The sequence below is a fragment of the Homo sapiens genome, chromosome 1, assembly GCF_000001405.40.
Source record: "Homo sapiens chromosome 1, GRCh38.p14 Primary Assembly".
In the NCBI taxonomy this organism is placed as follows: Eukaryota; Metazoa; Chordata; class Mammalia; order Primates; family Hominidae; genus Homo; species Homo sapiens.
In genome coordinates this window covers 85,177,138-85,196,722 of record NC_000001.11, presented here as the reverse complement: position 1 = coordinate 85,196,722, position 19,585 = coordinate 85,177,138, and the positions used below count along the sequence as shown (strand labels likewise).

General features: G+C 36.0%; 1 protein-coding gene across 5 annotated transcripts in view; it reads left to right on the top strand.

Moving 5' to 3' along the window:
• Positions 1-19,585, top strand: part of SYDE2 (synapse defective Rho GTPase homolog 2) — a 48,526-nt gene that overhangs the window by 4,294 nt on the left and 24,647 nt on the right. For 4 of the 5 annotated variants that reach the window (XM_017002483.2, NM_032184.2, XM_017002484.3 and 1 more), the window contains exons 2-4: positions 5,971-6,666; positions 13,523-14,625; positions 18,451-18,577. In XM_017002483.2, coding sequence (XP_016857972.2) covers positions 5,971-6,666; positions 13,523-14,625; positions 18,451-18,577 — 1,926 coding nt within the window. The remainder of the gene's footprint in view (positions 1-5,970; positions 6,667-13,522; positions 14,626-18,450; positions 18,578-19,585) is intronic. The other variant, XM_047431920.1, reaches the window with a different exon arrangement.

Sequence of the window (19,585 nt, the reverse complement as noted above, 5' to 3'; positions counted from 1 at the left end):
CAAGGTGAGTAGCAATAGTTATATAGTTTTTGACAGTCTTCTAATTTTAAATCTCTTCCTGAGAGATTCTGCTATTGTGGTGCTAGAAAGCAAGTGCAGTTGCTTTTTTTTTTTTTCTTTTTCTGGAAGAGTGTCATGGAACATTGGAGTTGCTGGTGGCTGGAAAACTTCAAGAATTACAAATTCAGCAGAAAACAGTGTTGTGTTGATTTGAAAGTCCTACATTTCTAGACCAGTGGCTCCCAAGAAATGCTGTGTTTAAGAAGGCTGTTTGCTAGACCTTTGCCACTCAAAATGTGGTTCAATGTTTTAGAGCAGTGCTTTTCAAACTTAATGTCCATATGAATTCCCTGGAAATTTTGTTGAAATGCAGATTCTATAGGTGTGGGGTGGGACCTGAGATTCTGCTCCCAGTGTAGATGCTGCTGTCTGGTGTACCGTACTTTTGAATAGTAAGCTTCTAGAGCTCTCACATCCCCGAAGTTTTACAAAAAATTCTACCTTATTCTGATACTTGGTACTTAAACTACCCCTATTAGAGCAAAGCACTTGGGCTCTTTTTGCTTCAGTTTTATGTATATGAATTAATATACTTACTACTTATATATTACACATTTGAGCAGTTCCCTCTATATTGGCCTCATCTTGCTTAACTAACAAGTATTAGTGAGATTTTGGAAATGCAAGAGAGGAGGCCGTATAGGACAATGGTTAACAGAATAGAGATTCTGGGTTTCTGGTCAGACTCTACCACTTACCAGGCTTGTGACCTTGGATAAGTTACTCAACCTTGTGTAGCCTCAGTCCTCAGGTTGCTGTGAGGATGAAAAGAGATAATCCATTTGGTGCTGTGCCTAGCACTTACTTGTTATTATCAAGGGGAAGGCAAGCAGGCTTTGTGAGAATACTGCTTTGCCTCAGATCATTAGGATTCTAGATGGAGAGTGAAAAGGTCGAAGTTGAGGAGTACTGCCTTGAGGAGCACTGGGAATTGAGCTAGAGGACACCTTTTTGGGGTATTTATTTATTCTGCTCATCTTTTGTGCTCCTTTCTTTTGCTGCTCCCTGTTACTTTTGTGGAACTGAAAACGGTCTCAGAGTTTTCTTCTCTACTTTCCCGTCTCAAAAGCTAACACACAGCTTTTTTTTTTCTTTAGGGTTTTTATTGCTAGCCACAAGGGAATGAAAATAAAAAAGGTGCTTCTTTCCTTTTCATTCCATCCCTCTCCTCCTTTTAGATTTGTCTAGGAAAGATAAAGATACACACACACATATACACACACAGAAACTTAAGACTTAAGTTTATTCTAGTAATTTCATCTGGACTGCCAAGTTTGACTCTAAGCAGGGGATACTTGTACTTATTTAGAAACAGGATTTTAATAAATATTAAAATGTTTAATGCTTTTAAAACAGATTTAAACATCTAATACAGTGTTCATAAGATACTTTTATTTGGGATTTTTAAAGAGAAGTAAGGAAAAGCAAGAGAGTTTATTTCTGCAGAATTTTTAAAATGATGAAAAGATGTCTCTCTAGATACTACACATTTTTTTTTTTTTTTAGATGGAGTCTAGCTCTGTTGCCCAGCCTGGAGTGCAGTGGCGTGATCTCGGCTCAATGCAAGCTCTGCCTCGCGGGTTCACGCCATTCTCCTGCCTCAGCCTCCCGAGTAGCTGGGACTACAGGCGCCCGCCACCATGCTCGGCTAATTTTTTGGATTTTTAGTAGAGACAGGGTTTCACCGTGTTAGCCAGGATGGTCTCGATCTCCTGACCTCGTGATCCGCCCGCCTTGGCCTCCCAAAGTGCTGGGATTACAGGCGTGAGCCACCGCGCCCAGCCGGTACTACAGATTTTCAATGAGGGTTGAAATATATAATTTCTTGGAAAATTTGCTGATGGCATTTGAGCTGGGGGCACTAGTTAAATGTTCAGTAAGTAATCTAGATTTATTATGAAATAATAGTTGAGAAAACAGAATTGACTTGGGTAGTTCACCACTGTGTGGAATATTTTTCTGAGTGAAAAACTTTTAATTGCCATTTCTTTCTTCTCTTACAGATTCAAAGTAAAATTACTTTAATTAGAATCTGAAAATTATCCCATAACATGTATAGTTGCAAGAGACTAAGGACTTTTTTTGCCTTGTAACTTTGCATACTTATTTTTATATTTTTAGTTGGACCTTCTTTCAATATGTGTGTGTGTATATATAACATATTTTTATATTATATATGAAATATATTTTATTATATATTGTATGTATTTTTATATATAATATATAATTTAATATATAGGCAACAGTGAGACCCTGTCTCTACAAAAAAATTTATAATTTATAGGCAATATATAGGCAACAATGAGACCCTTTCTCTACAAAAATATTTATAATTTATGAATAACATATTTCATATATATGAAGCTAAAACTCTTAAATTTATGCTAATATGGTTAAACATTGTTGCATTAAATGGGAGGGCAGATTGCAAATAGCTTTCCATATCTATGAATTTACATTCATGTGGATCCATTTAATTTAAGTGAGATAAAAATGTTTTAATTATAAATAATTGCTCAAGTTTATTATCTTGAATAATGTGTTGATTAATTCAGTTTAATAAATAAATTTGGCCTTTGTAATATTATATATTTATAATACACAATATAAATTATAATAATGTGCCATTTATCTATAAGTTTAAAGTTCAGCATCATGTATTTTAAAATATTCGGCAATAGCAATCAGAGTGAATGGATTCAAGCTTTTGTAGTTTGTAATTTCATTGAAAATAGTGGCTAGACATGGTGGCTCACACCGTAATTCCAGCACTTTGGGAGGGGGAAACAGGAAGATCACTTAAGCCTGGGAGTTCCAGACCAGCCTAGGCAACATAGTGAGACCCTGTCTCTACCAAAAGAAAAAAAAGAAATTAGCCAGGTGTGGTGGTGCAAGCCTGTAGTCCTAGCTTCTTGGGAGACTGAGGCGGGAGGATCACTTGCGCCTGGGAGGTTGAGGTTGCCGTGAGCCATAATGGTGCCACTGTGCTCCAGCCTGGGTGACAAGAGTGAGACCCTATCTAGTAAAAAAAAATTCCTTTTAATATTATACTTTCATTAAATGATTATATCAATGGAAGTATCAACTTGCTTAAATATGGGATACTGGTAGCTTTATTTTTCTCACTGTAGTTCCTTGCAATGTAGTAGAAACATGTTCAAAGACTCATTTATAGTGTATGTCAGAAAACTCCAAAAAGATTTAAAATAATGAATGTGTCTAGCTATATAAAAATTTGGAATTTCTAAGAGATGTCTGAGAAAAAGATAAAATAAGATGTGGCTCATAGCCATCATGAGTAATGTAATTTTATACTGTTTGCTTCAAATTTAAATTGGGTCAAACTATAATATCCTGTGAAGGTCTGAAATACTGTTAAGTAATACTGGATTTGAACTTAAATGTGAAATAGATTTAGACTTCAGTGCACCTGGCAAAATCATGTGATCACTGAAAACCCAGAAACCCCAGTGATTGCTGAGTATGTTTTAATTTTCAGTTGTTAATTTTAAGTGTAATGGAGATAGAACCAGAGAAAGACTTTTGAATTTCCCTTATAGTAGCCTAGATATATCACCACAAACTTTGGAGTCAGAATAAGTTTGAGTGCTGCCTTTTCCATTTACCAACAAGGTACTCTTGAACAAGTTACTTGGCGTTTTTGAGTAGAACTTAATAGTTTTTCAAGTATTTTGAACATTATTTCACTTAGTTCTTACCAGCAGCCACTTTAATTTATAAGATAAATTGGGATGAATATCCCCATGTTCAGAAAGGGTTGCCTACTTCTGTACTGTTTGTGAGTAGCATGGTATGGGTAGCATCGTGTGGTTTGTGGGTAGCATGGTGAGTAGAGCATGGGTTTTAAGGTTAGACAGGCTTAAATTTGAATCCTAGGGCTAGCGACTTGACCATATTTCTCAAACTCTTTGAGGCTCATGATGGTAATCATACCTGTTTCATAGGATTGTTCTAGAGGTTAAATGAGGTTGGGGGCCTCCTTACTTCTTTATCTCTCATGCCTGCCACATAATAGTCACTCATTTGTGGAGTAAATAAATGCCTGGCATAGTAGGTATTCATGGGAGCTTCCTTGCCTTCTGATTTCTAGTCTAATTCCTGCATCTGGAATTGAATGTGACTTGCAATTTGTGTTTAAGGTTTGTTTATTTATTTATTTATTATTAATCTGCTTGGTTGGGTACATGTTTAGGATTTTGTAAAAGGAAAAATATATTTATTCATTTATTTTTAAGAGACAGGGTCTCACTCTGTTGCCCAGGCTAGAGTGCAGTGGCACAATCATAGCTCACTGCAGCCTCACATTCCTGGGCTCAGGCAATCTTCCCAGCTTAGCCTACAAAGTAGCTAGGATGACAGGTGTGTGCCACCACACCTGGCTAATTTTTAAATTTTTTGTAGAGATAGGGTCTTGCCATGTTGCCCAGGCTGGACATTTGGATTTTTTAAAGGATTTTCTTTTCAGTAGAAGGGAGGTTACTGAAAACCTTGATTCTGCATAAATCTGATTTTTTGGTTGTTTTAAGCTCCTTGTGGCTTAGTGTGTTTTATCACTCTATTTTTAGACCATTATTTTTTACTTGCTGTGCCAATAAGATGAGTTGACCATATAATTCCATAATTTAGAAACCTGAGATGATCTTAGATTTTTAAAATGTGGTTTTAATTATGTACGGTGAATTTTTATTATAATGATAGTTATATACTTAGCTTATGGACTGTCATTGAAGCCTGCTTTACAACTCTGGAAACACAAAATATTTTCCTCTTTAGATGAAATTAATGTTATGTATACATTTGTAGAGTCTTACTTATATTAAGATGTGCATATATCTAAGCATTTGAGGTCTCCCATTGGACTATTAATTTTTTTTTTTTTTTTTTGAGACGGAATCTCGCTCTGTTACCCAGGCTGGAGTGCAGTGGCACGATCTCGGCTCACCACAACCTCCACCTCCTGGGTTCAAGCTATTCACCTGCCTCAGCCTCCTGAATAGCTGGGACTGCAGGCACGTGCCACCATGCCCGGCTAATTTTTGTATTTTTAATAGAGACGGGGTTTCACTATGTTGGCCAGGCTGGTCTCAAACTCCTGACCTCGTGATCCTCCTGCCTCGGCCTCCCAAAGTGCTGGGATTACAGGCATTAGCCACTGCGCAGGGCCTGGACTATGAATTTCTTAAGGGAAGGGATTGTTTTGTTCATTCTTATTTCTCTGCTGCTTAAGTTTGTGCCTGGCCAAAAAAAATAATAGCTGTGTAGTGCATACTGTGAGACAGCATACCTGCTTCTAATCTGGGGCCTTCTGAAGGGATTTTTGTTTTTAGTTCTGCCCTAGATATTTAGAACTTAAACCCTACATAAGGTGCCATTGTGTTATGTGGATAGGAAGCCAATGTTATGTTGACATTTTAATATTAGTAAGGCATAGTTTCTTGTTAGGTTTGAAAGTTAATCTTTGTGTGAAAAGGGTAGGAGGAATATTATATTTCTAAGGACTTCTGGTCCTTGTAATAATGAATTGAAACTTATTCAAATATTGATTAGAGGTATACTATGAATAAAGCATTCTAGATAAACTTTTTATAAGGTATGTTTTGCTTAGGGTAAGGCTTTGTTAGCACTATAGTTTTTATAAAGGCAGGCTCAGAGTTTGTATATCCTTTTTCTTAGAATTCTTTGACACTTGTACTAGCAGTTTGATTTCTAAATAATATAAATCATATTTATATGTAAAATTCAAATTTTTTCTAGTTCAATTTTAGTCTCTGAATGTGATTGTTGTTACTTTTTGTTTAAAAAAATTTTTTTAAATAACTGGTCTGAAGTGACATGTCTTTCTGATATACCAGCCATTATATTCTACCTTCTATTCTATCTTTGCAACAGATTTATTTGAAAATGCCTATGGGTCTTCAATGAAGGGAAGAGAACTTGAAGAGCTGAAGGATAATATTGAATTCAGAGGTCATAAGCCACTTAACAGCATCACTGTTTCAAAGAAACGCAATTGGCTATATCAGAGTACTCTGAGGCCTCTTAATCTGGAAGAAGAAAATAAGAAATGCCAAGATAGAAGTCATTTATCCATCTCACCTGTGTCTCTACCTAAACATCAGCTATCACAGTCTTTCCTCAAATCATCTAAAGAGTACTGTACATATGTGGTATGTAACGCTACAAACTCTTCATTATCGAAAAACTGTGCTTTAGATTTTAATGAGGAAAATGATGCAGATGATGAAGGAGAAATATGGTACAATCCCATTCCTGAGGATGATGACCTTGGTATATCAAGTGCCTTGAGTTTTGGTGAGGCCGACTCTGCTGTTCTGAAGCTCCCTGCTGTCAATTTGAGCATGTTGTCTGGCAGTGACCTGATGAAAGCAGAGCGGCATACTGAAGACTCACTGTGCTCTTCCGAACATGCAGGTGATATTCAGACCACACGGTCAAATGGAATGAATCCTATACATCCTGCCCATTCCACAGAATTTGTGCAGCAGTACAAGCAAAAGCTAGGACACAAGACACAAGAAGGTATAATGGTGGAGGACAGTCCCATGTTGAAATCTCCTTTTGCAGGTAAAAATGATCATATATGTGTCTTTCTTTCTTCTTCCATTTTTGAATTATTTGATAATAGCTAAAACTAAATATAAAAGATGTTTGTTATATTCATGTACTTTTTCTTGTGAAGTGAATATATTTTCATGAAAATAAAACTCAAAAAGTTTTATAAACATTTTAACGTACACGCTGGTTTAATTATTACTATCACAGACTTGATTTTTATTTTATTTTTTTGAGAAAGGGTCTCACTCTGTCACCCAGGCTAGAGTGCAGTGGCACAATCATGGCGCACCGCAGCCTTGACCTCCAGGCTCAGGTGATCCTCCCACCATAGCTTCCTGAGTAGCTAGGACTACAGGTGCGTGCCACCATGCCCAGCCAATTTTTGTATTTTTTGTAGAGACAGGGTTTTGCTTTGTTGACCAGGCTGGTCTTGAACTCCTGACCTCAAACCATCTGCCTACTTTGGCCTCCCAAAGTGCTGGGATTATAAGTGTGAGCCATTGTGCCTGGCCACAGACTTGACTTTATAATCTGGTGTGCTTTAATATGTCAATCCTTTGAGACAGTAATTGCTTGCCTATTAGTTGGAAGCAAGAAATCATAGGGAGTTGAAGAAAAAGTAAGTCTTATTTTGCTTCATTCATTCATTCATTCACACCTGGCCTGGCCACAGCTGAAAAGTTTTGTTTTTAGTGTACCAGTGGTCATTAGTTTGTGTTTTTTATGTGTAAGTTTCCTCATGAGCAAAAGAAAGAAGAGAGAAAGAAATGAGAAGTAGAAGTAAGTCCCTTGCAAATACGTGCTACAGTAGTTATGGAACTGAAAAATGAAGTAATTGAAGTTTTATGTAGATTAGGTTGACCCATTTGAAAATAAGTGCTACAGTAGTTATGGAACCTAAAAATGAAATAATTGAAGTTTTATGTATATTAGGTTGACCCATTTGAAATTGTGAATATTCAAAAGTTTTTGATGTACAAAAATTGCCTTTAATTTTCTGATGTGCTTCTTTTAGTCCCAGACACACTACCCAGGAAACAGAACATAAGGCACATTTGCTTGCAAATATCAAATGTAGAATAGAAAGCAGTTCTGTTTTATATCAAGTCATTTTAATTTACAGAATTTCAAATGATGCAGAATATTTAAAGATGTGGGGTATAGGAGATGCTGTCAGTGCTTTGTCTTATATCCCCTGGGTTTTATTACTATTTAAATGGGAGAAGCCTATTTCCAGCCACCAACATCTTCACCTCTGCTTAAGGACTTTCTCTGAAGTCTTAGAGAATCTCTGCAGGGCAGCCTCGGCGTGCCTCTCAACCAGTGACTCACAAGAGCTGGTATAGAACTACGTCATCTCCCTCAACCCTTGGGCAGAATAATTCTGAGTTTATATTCTATGTTGTTTCCCAGAGTTTTCTCATGAGGTCAAGCTCCAGTTGCCCGTAGTGATAGCAGGCTTGATAATTCAGCTTGAATTTTCCCCTGAATTTTCTCAGCTCCCTCGCTGATGTTTCTGTACTTTGCAAATAAACTACTTACATTTAAAACCTTTTCTCAGGGACAAACCTTTTCTCAGGGACATAGGAAGGTGGAGTAAATGTATATTAAGAGAAAAAGGAAGTTCCAAAACAATGTGTACTGTATGATGGCAATTTTGAAAGAAAAGCTGAAAGATGTCCTGGAAATGTTGTGTTTTTTTATTTGTTTTTATTTTTTTCTGGGTGTTGAGATTGAAGGTAATTAAATTTTTTTCTTTGTGCATTTCTAATTATAGGCTAATTCTCCAGAGCAAATGTGTGCTGCTTTTGTAATCTGGATGGGGAAAGAAATAAATACTATATAGAATAGTAATTTGGAATGCAGATTGTGATCAGGGTGGAGTGATAGGGAAGGCTATAGTATCACAGATAGCGACGGATATAGAATAGTTCAGAGAAGGCAAGAGAGTGTAAGGATAAGAGCAAAGATAGAAAGTTGGTGTTCATGAAGTGACACACACCTTGATTTAAGTGACTATCCTTAAACTTTTTTTTTAATTTAATTTAATTATTATTATACTTTAAGTTTTAGGGTACATGTGCACAATGTACAGGTTACATATGTATACTTGTGCCATGCTGATGTGCTGCACCCATTCACTCATCATTTAGCATTAGCTATATCTCCTAATGCTATCCCTCCCCCCTCCCCCACCCCACAACAGTCCCCAGAGTGTGATGTTCCCCTTCCTGTGTCCATGTGTTCTCATTGTTCAATTCCCACCTATGAGTGAGAACATGCGGTGTTTGGTTTTTTGTCCTTGAGATAGTTTACTGAGAATGATGATTTCCAATTTCATCCATGTCCCTACAAAGGAAATGAACTCATCCTTTTTTATGGCTGCATAGTATTCCATGGTGTATATGTGCCACATTTTCTTAATCCAGTCTATCATTGTTGGACATTTGGGTTGGTTCCAAGTCTTTGCTATTGTGAATAGTGCCGCAATAAACATACGTGTGCATGTGTCTTTATAGCAGCATGATTTATAGTCCTTTGGGTATATACCCAGTAATGGGATGGCTGGGTCAAATGGTATTTCTAGTTCTAGATCCCTGAGGAATCACCACACTGACTTCCACAATGGTTGAACTAGTTTACAGTCCCACCAGCAGTGTAAAAGTGTTCCTATTTCTCCACATCCTCTCCAGCACCTGTTGTTTCCTGACTTTTTAATGATTGCCATTCGAACTGGTATGAGATGGTATCTCATTGTGGTTTTGATTTGCATTTCTCTGATGGCCAGTGATGGTGAGCATTTTTTCATGTGTTTTTTGGCTGCATAAATGTCTTCTTTTGAGAATTGTCTGTTCATGTCCTTCGCCCACTTTTTGGTGGGGTTGTTTGTTTTTTTCTTGTAAATTTGTTTGAGTTCATTGTAGATTCTGGATATCAGCCCTTTGTCAGATGAGTAGGTTGCGAAAATTTTCTCCCATTTTGTAGGTTGCCTGTTCACTCTGATGGTAGTTTCTTTTGCTGTGCAGAAGCTCTTGAGTTTAATTAGATCCCATTTGTCAATTTTGGCTTTTGTTGCCATTGCTTTTGGTGTTTTAGACATGAAGTCCTTGCCCATGCCTGTGTCCTGAATGGTAATACCTAGGTTTTCTTCTAGGGTTTTTATGGTTTTAGGTCTAACGTTTAAGTCTTTAATCCATCTTGAATTAATTTTTGTAGAAGGTATAAGGAAGGGATCCAGTTTCAGCTTTCTACATATGGCTAGCCAGTTTTCCCAGCACCATTTATTAAATAGGGAATCCTTTCCCCATTGCTTGTTTTTCTCAGGTTTGTCAAAGATCAGATAGTTGTAGATATGTGGCATTATTTCTGAGGGCTCTGTTCTGTTCCATTGATCTATATCTCTGTTTTGGTACCAGTACCATGCTGTTTTGGTTACTGTAGCCTTGTAGTATAGTTTGAAGTCAGGTAGCGTGATGCCTCCAGCTTTGTTCTTTTGGCTTAGGATTAACTTGGCGATGCGGGCTCTTTTTTGGTTCCATATGAACTTTAAAGTAGTTTTTTCCAATTCCATGAAGAAAGTCATTGGTAGCTTGATGGGGATGGCATTGAATCTATTAATTACCTTGGGCAGTATGGCCATTTTCACGATGGATTCACAGCCAGATTCTACCAGAGGTACAAGGAGGAACTGGTACCATTCCTTCTGAAACTATTCCAATCAATAGAAAAAGAGGGAATCCTCCCTAACTCATTTTATGAGACCAGCATCATCCTGATACCAAAGCCAGGCAGAGACACAACCAAAAAAGAGAATTTTAGACCAATATCCTTGATGAACATTGATGCAAAAATGCTCAATAAAATACTGGCAAACCGAATCCAGCAGCACATCAAAAAGCTTATCCACCAAGATCAAGTGGGCTTCATCCCTGGGATGCAAGGCTGGTTCAATATACGCAAATCAATAAATGTAATCCAGCATATAAACAGAACCAAAGACAAAAACCACATGATTATCTCAATAGATGCAGAAAAGGCCTTTGACAAAATTCAACAACCCTTCATGCTAAAAACTCTCAATAAATTAGGTATTGATGGGACGTATCTCAAAATAATAAGAGCTCTATGACAAACCCACAGCCAATATCATACTGAATGGGCAAAAACTGGAAGCATTCCCTTTGAAAACTGGCACAAGACAGGGATGCCCTCTCTCACCACTCCTATTCAACAGTGTTGGAAGTTCTGGCCAGGGCAATTAGGCAGGAGAAGGAAATAAAGGGTATTCAATTAGGAAAAGAGGAAGTCAAATTGTCCCTGTTTGCAGACGACATGATTGTATATCTAGAAAACCCCATTGTCTCAGCCCAAAATCTCCTTAAGCTGATAAGCAACTTCAGCAAAGTCTCAGGATACAAAATCAATGTACAGAATCACAAGCATTCTTATACACCAATAACAGACAAACAGCCAAATCATGAGTGAACTCCCATTCACAATTGCCTCAAAGAGAATAAAATACCTAGGAATCCAACTTACAAGGGATGTGAAGGACCTCTTCAAGGAGAACTACAAACCACTGCTCAATGAAATAAAAGAGGATACAAAGAAATGGAAGAACATTCCATGCTCATGGGTAGGAAGAATCAATATCGTAAACTTTTTTTTTTAATGTTTGTGGCAAATTGTGAACCTGGAAAGACTAACAGACATTTTTTTAAAAACACAACTTAAAAGTATGCTATATCTGCTTTTTTTACTATCTCCTTTTTTACTGTCATTCTTCTCATAAATATATAATTAAAATATATTTATAATTATAAAATAATATAAATATATATTATAAATATTAAATATTTACATTTAATATTGTAAAATATATGATAATATATAATTAAAATATTTTTTGGTCAAAAATCCTAAATTGACCAAAGGAAATATTTAGACAGTTTATTTATAAGTCATCTTTTTTTGTTGTTTTATTTTGGTGGAAAAACCGTTACCTAAAGTGATCTATTTCTTAGCAGTATTGGCAGAAAGCTGTTGAGAAATTGGCAAAGAAAATGGTTGAATTTCAAAATAATTTTTGATCAGAGAATTGGAAAGCTAATTCATCCTAATGCAATTATGACTTGTTTTTTCCTCATTAACTCCCAGATACATATGTATCTTTTTTTTTTTTTTTAAGACGGGGTATCTCTGTGTTTCCCAGGGTGGAGTGCAAGTGGCACAATCACGGCTCACTGTAGCCTCCCAGCCTGAGAAACACTCGACCTTCCCAGCTCAAGCAGTCTTCCCACCTCGGTTTCCCTAGTAGCTGGGACTATAGCACACCACCACACCTGCTAATTTTTTTGTATCTTTTGTAGACATGGGGTTTTGCCATGTTGTCCAGGCTGGTCTTGAACTCCTATCTGCCTCAGCCTCCCAAAGTAATGGGATAACAGTGAGCCACCATGATATATATGTATCTTTTATCTAGTTGTAATCATAGTGGACTTTATTTTTGATTTTTGCTGTTTTTACTTGGTATCTTCATCTTGCATTGTTACATGTAGGGTAGTATTGTTTCTCAAGCATTGTAGTACAGTATTTAACTGCGTTGATGTGCCCTAATCTATTTGACTGTTTCCTTAATGTTAGGTGTTGATAGATTGTTTCCAGTGCTATTGCAGTGATCTTCATAATGTTTTTTACTTCACTCAGATCAATTACCAGTATCATTACTTGGTGTTTATGCCTGGTAATTATTATTGTTAATTTCTATGTTGCATTTTCTACAAAGTTTGCCAGTTTACAAGGCAACTAACAATTGGTTATTCATTTATTCACTAAATATTGAGTTCCTGCTATGTACCAGTTACTGTTCTAGGTGCTGAAGGAGTGTGCCAGTTTCACTCGACTCTAGCCTAGTTCATAAATTTATATTTAAAGATTTTTATTTTGTACCTTCTTTTTAAAGATAGTATGTGATTTGATTAGTATAGTTGTAGTTTAATTTTAAGCGACTGTGGAATTTGGTAATATTTTGACTCTTGGGTTTTATAAAAACAAAGCATTTTGGCTTTAATAAATTCAGTTTTATCTGCAGTAGAAGTTGCTATCATGTACAGTATTTCATTTTAATAATTAGTTAAGGACTTCAGTAGAAATTATTTACTTACAGTATGTAAAAAGAGTCAGTTTTTTTATGTGATAATGTATTTAATCTAAAGCAATTTAATATACTGGATAGCTTTTCTAGGCTGTGATAAAATAGACAGATTGATGTTTATAGACTGAAGCAGGACCCCGATTAACTCTAGAATGTTTCAAACTAGTAAGCCAGTAGAATTGTACTATAATTTTAGTACAAGGGGATGCTTTATCCAGTTTATCAAACACTCCATTTTCTATTATCTTCTTAATAGAAAAGCCCTGTAGGCATACTTAAAATAGTTTTTTTCTCTATAAAGAAACTACTTATTTGTCATTAGGACACATGGGGTGGAGGGAGAATATTAATACTTTTTAAAGAAAGGTCATTTGTTGTTTTTTAAAATGAATAAACACTTTTTCTCATTTTAATTGTGAAATGTTGTGTTACATACATTAGCTTTTGATGTGAGGTTATTAGATCTTTCTCTATAAGGAATAAAGTATGAAAAATTAAATTAAATTTTAAATAATTGGGATAATGCAGTATTCTGCTTGAATATCATGATGGAAGTTGACCTGAACTTCTAATGAAATCTCCCCATTGAGATGAAATAAGAGAAGAATTTCTGCCTATGTGAAAGCCTGTTTAGTTGATGGTTTATAAAATAAGAATAAAAGAAATCAAAACATATTGCTTTATAACGTATTTTTCTTTCTTTCTTTTAAGGTTCTGGGATCCTGGCTGCTACAAATAGTACTGAATTGGGAATTATGGAACCATCTTCTCCAAATCCTAGCCCTGTGAAAAAAGGCAGTTCAATTAATTGGTCATTGCCAGATAAAATAAAATCTCCACGAACTGTGAGGAAACTTTCCATGAAAATGAAAAAGTTGCCAGAATTTAGCCGAAAGCTAAGCGTTAAGGGAACATTGAATTATATAAACAGTCCAGATAATACTCCTTCTTTGTCTAAATATAACTGCCGAGAAGTTCATCATACTGATATTCTGCCCTCTGGGAACACAACCACCGCTGCTAAGAGGAATGTTATAAGCCGATACCATCTTGATACCAGTGTATCCTCCCAGCAGAGCTACCAGAAGAAAAACTCTATGAGTTCTAAGTATTCCTGCAAAGGTGGTTACCTTAGTGATGGAGACTCACCTGAACTTACAACTAAAGCTAGCAAACATGGATCTGAAAACAAATTTGGAAAAGGAAAAGAAATAATTTCAAATAGTTGTAGCAAGAATGAAATAGACATTGATGCTTTTAGGCATTATAGCTTTTCTGATCAACCTAAGTGTTCACAGTACATATCTGGGCTCATGAGTGTACATTTCTATGGTGCTGAGGATTTAAAACCACCTCGGATAGATTCAAAAGACGTCTTTTGTGCAATTCAGGTAGATTCAGTAAACAAAGCAAGAACAGCTTTGCTCACATGCCGAACAACATTTTTAGACATGGATCACACTTTCAACATAGAAATTGAAAATGCACAACATTTGAAACTAGTAGTATTCAGTTGGGAACCCACTCCAAGAAAAAATCGAGTTTGTTGTCATGGAACTGTTGTTCTTCCCACCTTATTTAGAGTGACAAAGACTCATCAGTTGGCTGTCAAACTTGAACCTAGAGGTCTTATTTATGTGAAAGTGACTCTTATGGAACAGTGGGAGAATTCTCTTCATGGACTAGATATAAACCAAGAACCAATAATATTTGGAGTTGATATTCAAAAAGTTGTAGAGAAAGAAAATATAGGACTGATGGTGCCCCTTCTGATACAGAAATGTATTATGGAAATTGAAAAGAGAGGCTGTCAGGTATTATCTTACTATGGTTCCCTACTACTTCCTTTATTGATTGATTAATTGTAAGTCTTGGGGGAAGAAATTCAAGGTAATGTAAAAAAATCAAATTTAGATATTTTACCATTCCTATTCTTTATTTTTATTCCATTACTGTTTAGGGTATAATTTTTAACTTGACTCATGTTGTCCATTATTGAGAGCATGCTAGATGATTCCACAAATTTATATTGCAACACAGAGCTTCATGGGTCTTATAATTAGAAATCAGGATTGCTTCAAAATGGCATTAAAAGGAAAAGTCAGAGCTGATAACATAGGCAAAGGATATTGATTCTTTATACTAATTTTTGTGATACATATTAAGACTAAAAATTACGTTGAGTTATTTCTGCTTTAGTACTATCTGAATTTATAATATTGGTTGAAAAGTTAAGTTAAAAGACAATGAGTAAATATTATAAAATCTGAAATATTTATTTAATAAACTTAAGCTTAACATGGAAACTATAGAAACAGCCTAAGTTAATGGAATTTTGCATTAAGATACAGAATACCTGGATTCTGGTTTCTCCTCCATTATTACTTAGCTGTGTCATGTTGGGCAAGTCACTTAATCTCTGTGGGTCTTACTTGCTTGTATCTATAAAAATAGATGGAGTGGCTGGGCATGGGGGCTCACACCTGTAATCCCAGCACTTTGGGAGGCCAAGGCGGGCAGATCACCTGAGGTCAGGAGTTCAAGACCAGCCTGGCCAACATAGTGAAAACTGTCTCTACTAAAAATACAAAAATTAGCCCGACATGGTGGCGCATGCCTGTAATCCCAGCTACTTAGGAGGCTGATGCAGGAGAATTGTTTGAACCCAGGAGGTGGACATTACAGTGAGCCCAGATTGTGCCACTGCATTCTAGCCTGGGCGATAGAGTGAGACTCCGTTGCAAAAAAAAAAAAAAAAAAAAAAAAAAAAAATGGAGTAGCTTCCTGAAGCTAAGAGATAACACATCTCAACTATTGAAACTTCCCCTCTTCAGGCCCCCCAGTGGGGTTGGATGAAACTTCTAACTCAGATACATCATTCTGTCTCCAGTTTGTGTTGTCTTTGTGTGAGTGAGGCCTTTACTTTTCCAATCCAACTTTTGGTTAATTATTTTTCTTTCTTAAGATTCTGTTTTTTTCTTTTATCTTTTTTCAGGCAGTGAGGGTAGAGTTCAGAAATTATGCAGACTTAAAAGCTAATTATTAAACAAACTTTTATAGTTGAATATTAAGTAACTCAAATGGCACTATATTTTTACAGTCTATTTTCTGAAATATTTAGAAAGAGCAGGTATATATAGACTGTTACCACTTTAAGTGCCAAGAAAACATTTTTAGCAATGCTTTTCATTTTTATGTAGAACTGTATTTTTTTTTTTTTTTGAGACGGATTCTTGCTCTGTCGCCCAGGCTGGAGTGCAATGGCGCAGTCTCAGCTCACTGCAGCCTCCGCCTCCTGGGTTCAAGCAATTCTGCCTCAGCCTCCCAATTAGCTGGGATTACAGGTGCACGCCATCATGCCTGGCTAATTTTTGTATTTTTTTTAGTAGAGACAGGGTTTCACCATGTTAGCCAGGCTAGTCTCCAGCTCCTGACCTTGTGATCCGCCTGCCTCGGCCTCCCAAAGTGCTGGGATTACAGGTGTGAGCCACCGCGTCCGGCCTAGAACTGTACTTTTTAAAGACATTTTTGTTTTGTTTCCCCTGCTTCTTTCTCCCTCACTTGCCCTCCCCTCTTCCCCACCCCCAGTAGAGAGAGGCTTATTGTGCTTGTATTTTACAGACTGGCATACTGCTTAAATTTTGTTTACCCTTTTAGTCAGGAATTATTCTTGTATTATTGGGTTTTTATTGTAAACATGAAAATAGGCTTTGATAGTCATATACAAAGAGTTTGTGGCATGGGTCTTTGCATCTTCCAAATGCTTTGAGTGCTACTACCACCCATCTCCTGCTTAAAACGGGAAAAATTGCTATGGAGATCATACTTATGGTCTGTCTTTCATAGAGGCATCGAGCATGTACTTCAAGGGTTTGATTCAAGATATCATCATCAGAAAGTAGGGATATATCCTAAAATATCTTTTCCTTGAAGTACCTGTAGTAGATCTTCCTTCCTTTATTTCATCTTTTAAAAAATTATATTTGTGATTTCAACTTTTGGGGGTAAAATATCCCATTAATTTATTGTGTACTAGTTAAGTAGTACTTCCTTTAAGTTGTTCTAGGCTCATCTTCTTCTCAAGTTTAAGGGGATACATCGTTTGTATGGTACTTTATGACACTTAAATGTGCTCACACCAGCAGGGCTATAATCAAGTTCGTTTCTTCTGTTGTGGTAGCATTTCCTTTGATCCTGTTTAATATTTTAGTTTCATTTTCTGAACTGTCTACATTTCTACTGTGTCTTTCTTGAGATGATGTGATCAGCATAACTCATTCCATTCTCAATGTGAATGCATCATGAATGTGGATCAGGGTAGGAAATTTGAATTTTTTTCCTATTTCTTGGTTTCCCATATTATCTTGATCCTTTTGAATGTAGCAGCACCTTGCATTATCACCTCTTGGAAATAGTTTTAGGTTCTTTACTATCTTTCAATTAATACCTATAGCTTATCATCTCAAATATTTTAGATAATATTTCCCTGTATCTATTGACACTTTCTCATATTGAGACCCACCTTATAGTGTATTCTATCAGTTTTTTAATGAGTCAGAAGAGATTAGTATCATAAGTAACCCTGGAAATTTCATTTGTATACTTCTTCCTCTAGATCATTTATTGCATTTTACAGTGATTCCTAATTCAAATCCTGGAAGATTACTTTTACTTTATTTCTGTCTTTAAATAGTTTATTTCTCCAAAATTTTTCCTTCAGTTCAAAGTGACTGAGCTTTCTAAATAGTCTTAGATGTGGAAGTATGGCTGACAATCACTTATTCTCTCCTCAAGTTTTTTTGAAGTTTTATTCTTTCAAAGAACTTTGATAGCTTAATCAGGCGTGTTTTCTCTTTACAGAGATCATGTTTATTCTAAGTAAATTTATAGTGAATAACTTAAGACTTAATATTTTAGAACCTGTATGACAGTGTTTAAAGACAAATCTTTTCAATGTAGGTTGGTGGGATGGGTAGTGTCTGTGCATCTTATATAAATTTTGAAATAGAGGTTTTATTTTACCTTTAATATATTATTTTAAATTTCCTCCATCACTTTATAATCAATTAATTTGACAACTTAAAAAAAAAACACCCTAGGTTTGCTTCTGGGTCTTCCTGAGAATCTTTTTTCTTAAAAAGTTTTATATAGTATACTAGAACCTTATTTCAACTATATACTTATTTTAAGGATAAAAGAAACTGAGTTTTAAAGAGATTAAATAACTTGCCCAAATTCATGAAGCAAGCAGTGGGGCTTTATGACTCCAAAACCCTTGTTCAGTGTCTGTGCTGTACTACTTCAGTCTAGAACAAAAGATGTGAAAGGGCGCACATTCCTGGGGCATGGAGATCTTTATTGAGCATATAAAACTGAAAAGAAGGGATTGTGTTTTGCTTAAGATAGGTAGCCAGCATTACCGAACTGATAGTGTATTGTTTGAATTTAAATGAAAGAATAGGATATTTTTATTAAACTAATCAACATAGTATATAATGAGACTTCAAAAGCTATATTTGAGGTATTTAAAATTAAATGACATCAGAACATATTTGATTGCAAAGTTCATGTGATCTATAATGCAATTATATTTTCCCTTTATCAAATTTACTGTAATGTGGCCATAATTTTATTCCTAGGTAGTAGGCCTGTATCGATTATGTGGTTCGGCAGCAGTCAAGAAAGAACTGCGAGAGGCTTTTGAGAGAGATAGCAAAGCTGTTGGTCTGTGTGAAAACCAGTACCCAGATATAAATGTAATAACAGGTAATAAATAGATTTTATTTTATGTACTCTTTCTGGAAAGACTACATCTGCAAGAAAGATAACTGAAATACGTTTGTAGCTGAAATTTAATTTGTTTTTATTCTGAAGTCTTTTCTTCCTTCACAAACATTACTTACTGTGTTATTTTCTATGGGAAGGTATTAAGCTATGGTCCCTTGCCCACAAACAGCTGACATGATGAAGGGAAGTAAGACCTACTTTAAGTTAGCTATAGTAGCTAGCAGAAAGAAAAAGGTACCTTCATAGAGGGATAAATAAAATGCTTTGGAAGTTGAGTTTGACTGGTACTTAGGTGATATAGAGCGTATTGACTATCTGGTTAGAGAATTTAAATTTATTTACTAGCCAGAGGGGATCCATTAAGATTTTTTGAGTGGGGGAGTGATATCATAGAGATTATTTTCAGGAATATTAATCTGGCAACTCTATGTGATGGATTGAAATTAGAAGAGACCAGAGGAAGGAAAACCAATTAGAAAGCCTTGGCCGTAGTCCAGGCAAAGAGGTAGTAAGAGCTAAAGGGGCTTGTAGCAGTAGAAATAGGAAGAAGTAGAATTGAAAGGAGGTGGAGAAAGAAGGAGCCCAGACAGATATGACTTTGAGACATGGTTGATTGGGTACCATTAGCAGAAAAAGAGAGCTTCAGGGAGAGCTACTGCTTTTGGTGGGGAAGTGTCAAGAAAGATTATGAATTGGGCTTTGGATATATAGAATTTGAAGTGCTAGTAGGAGATCTAAATGGGTAGATCAAGCAAAGTTGAAACTGCTCATCTGCAGCTAAGAAGAGGATGCAGTAGAATTTGAGGGATCTCTTATTTACCCAAGTGGTGACTGTAATTCAATGTATGGCATTGGAAATATACTTCTATTACCCCTGAAAGATAAGAGTGGAAAGAGAGTCATTGGCATATATGTGTAGTAAAGTGTTGCAATTGTCCATAAAGTTTGAAAAGAAAGAACTTTGGGGGTCTCCAAACTTTGGAGGCT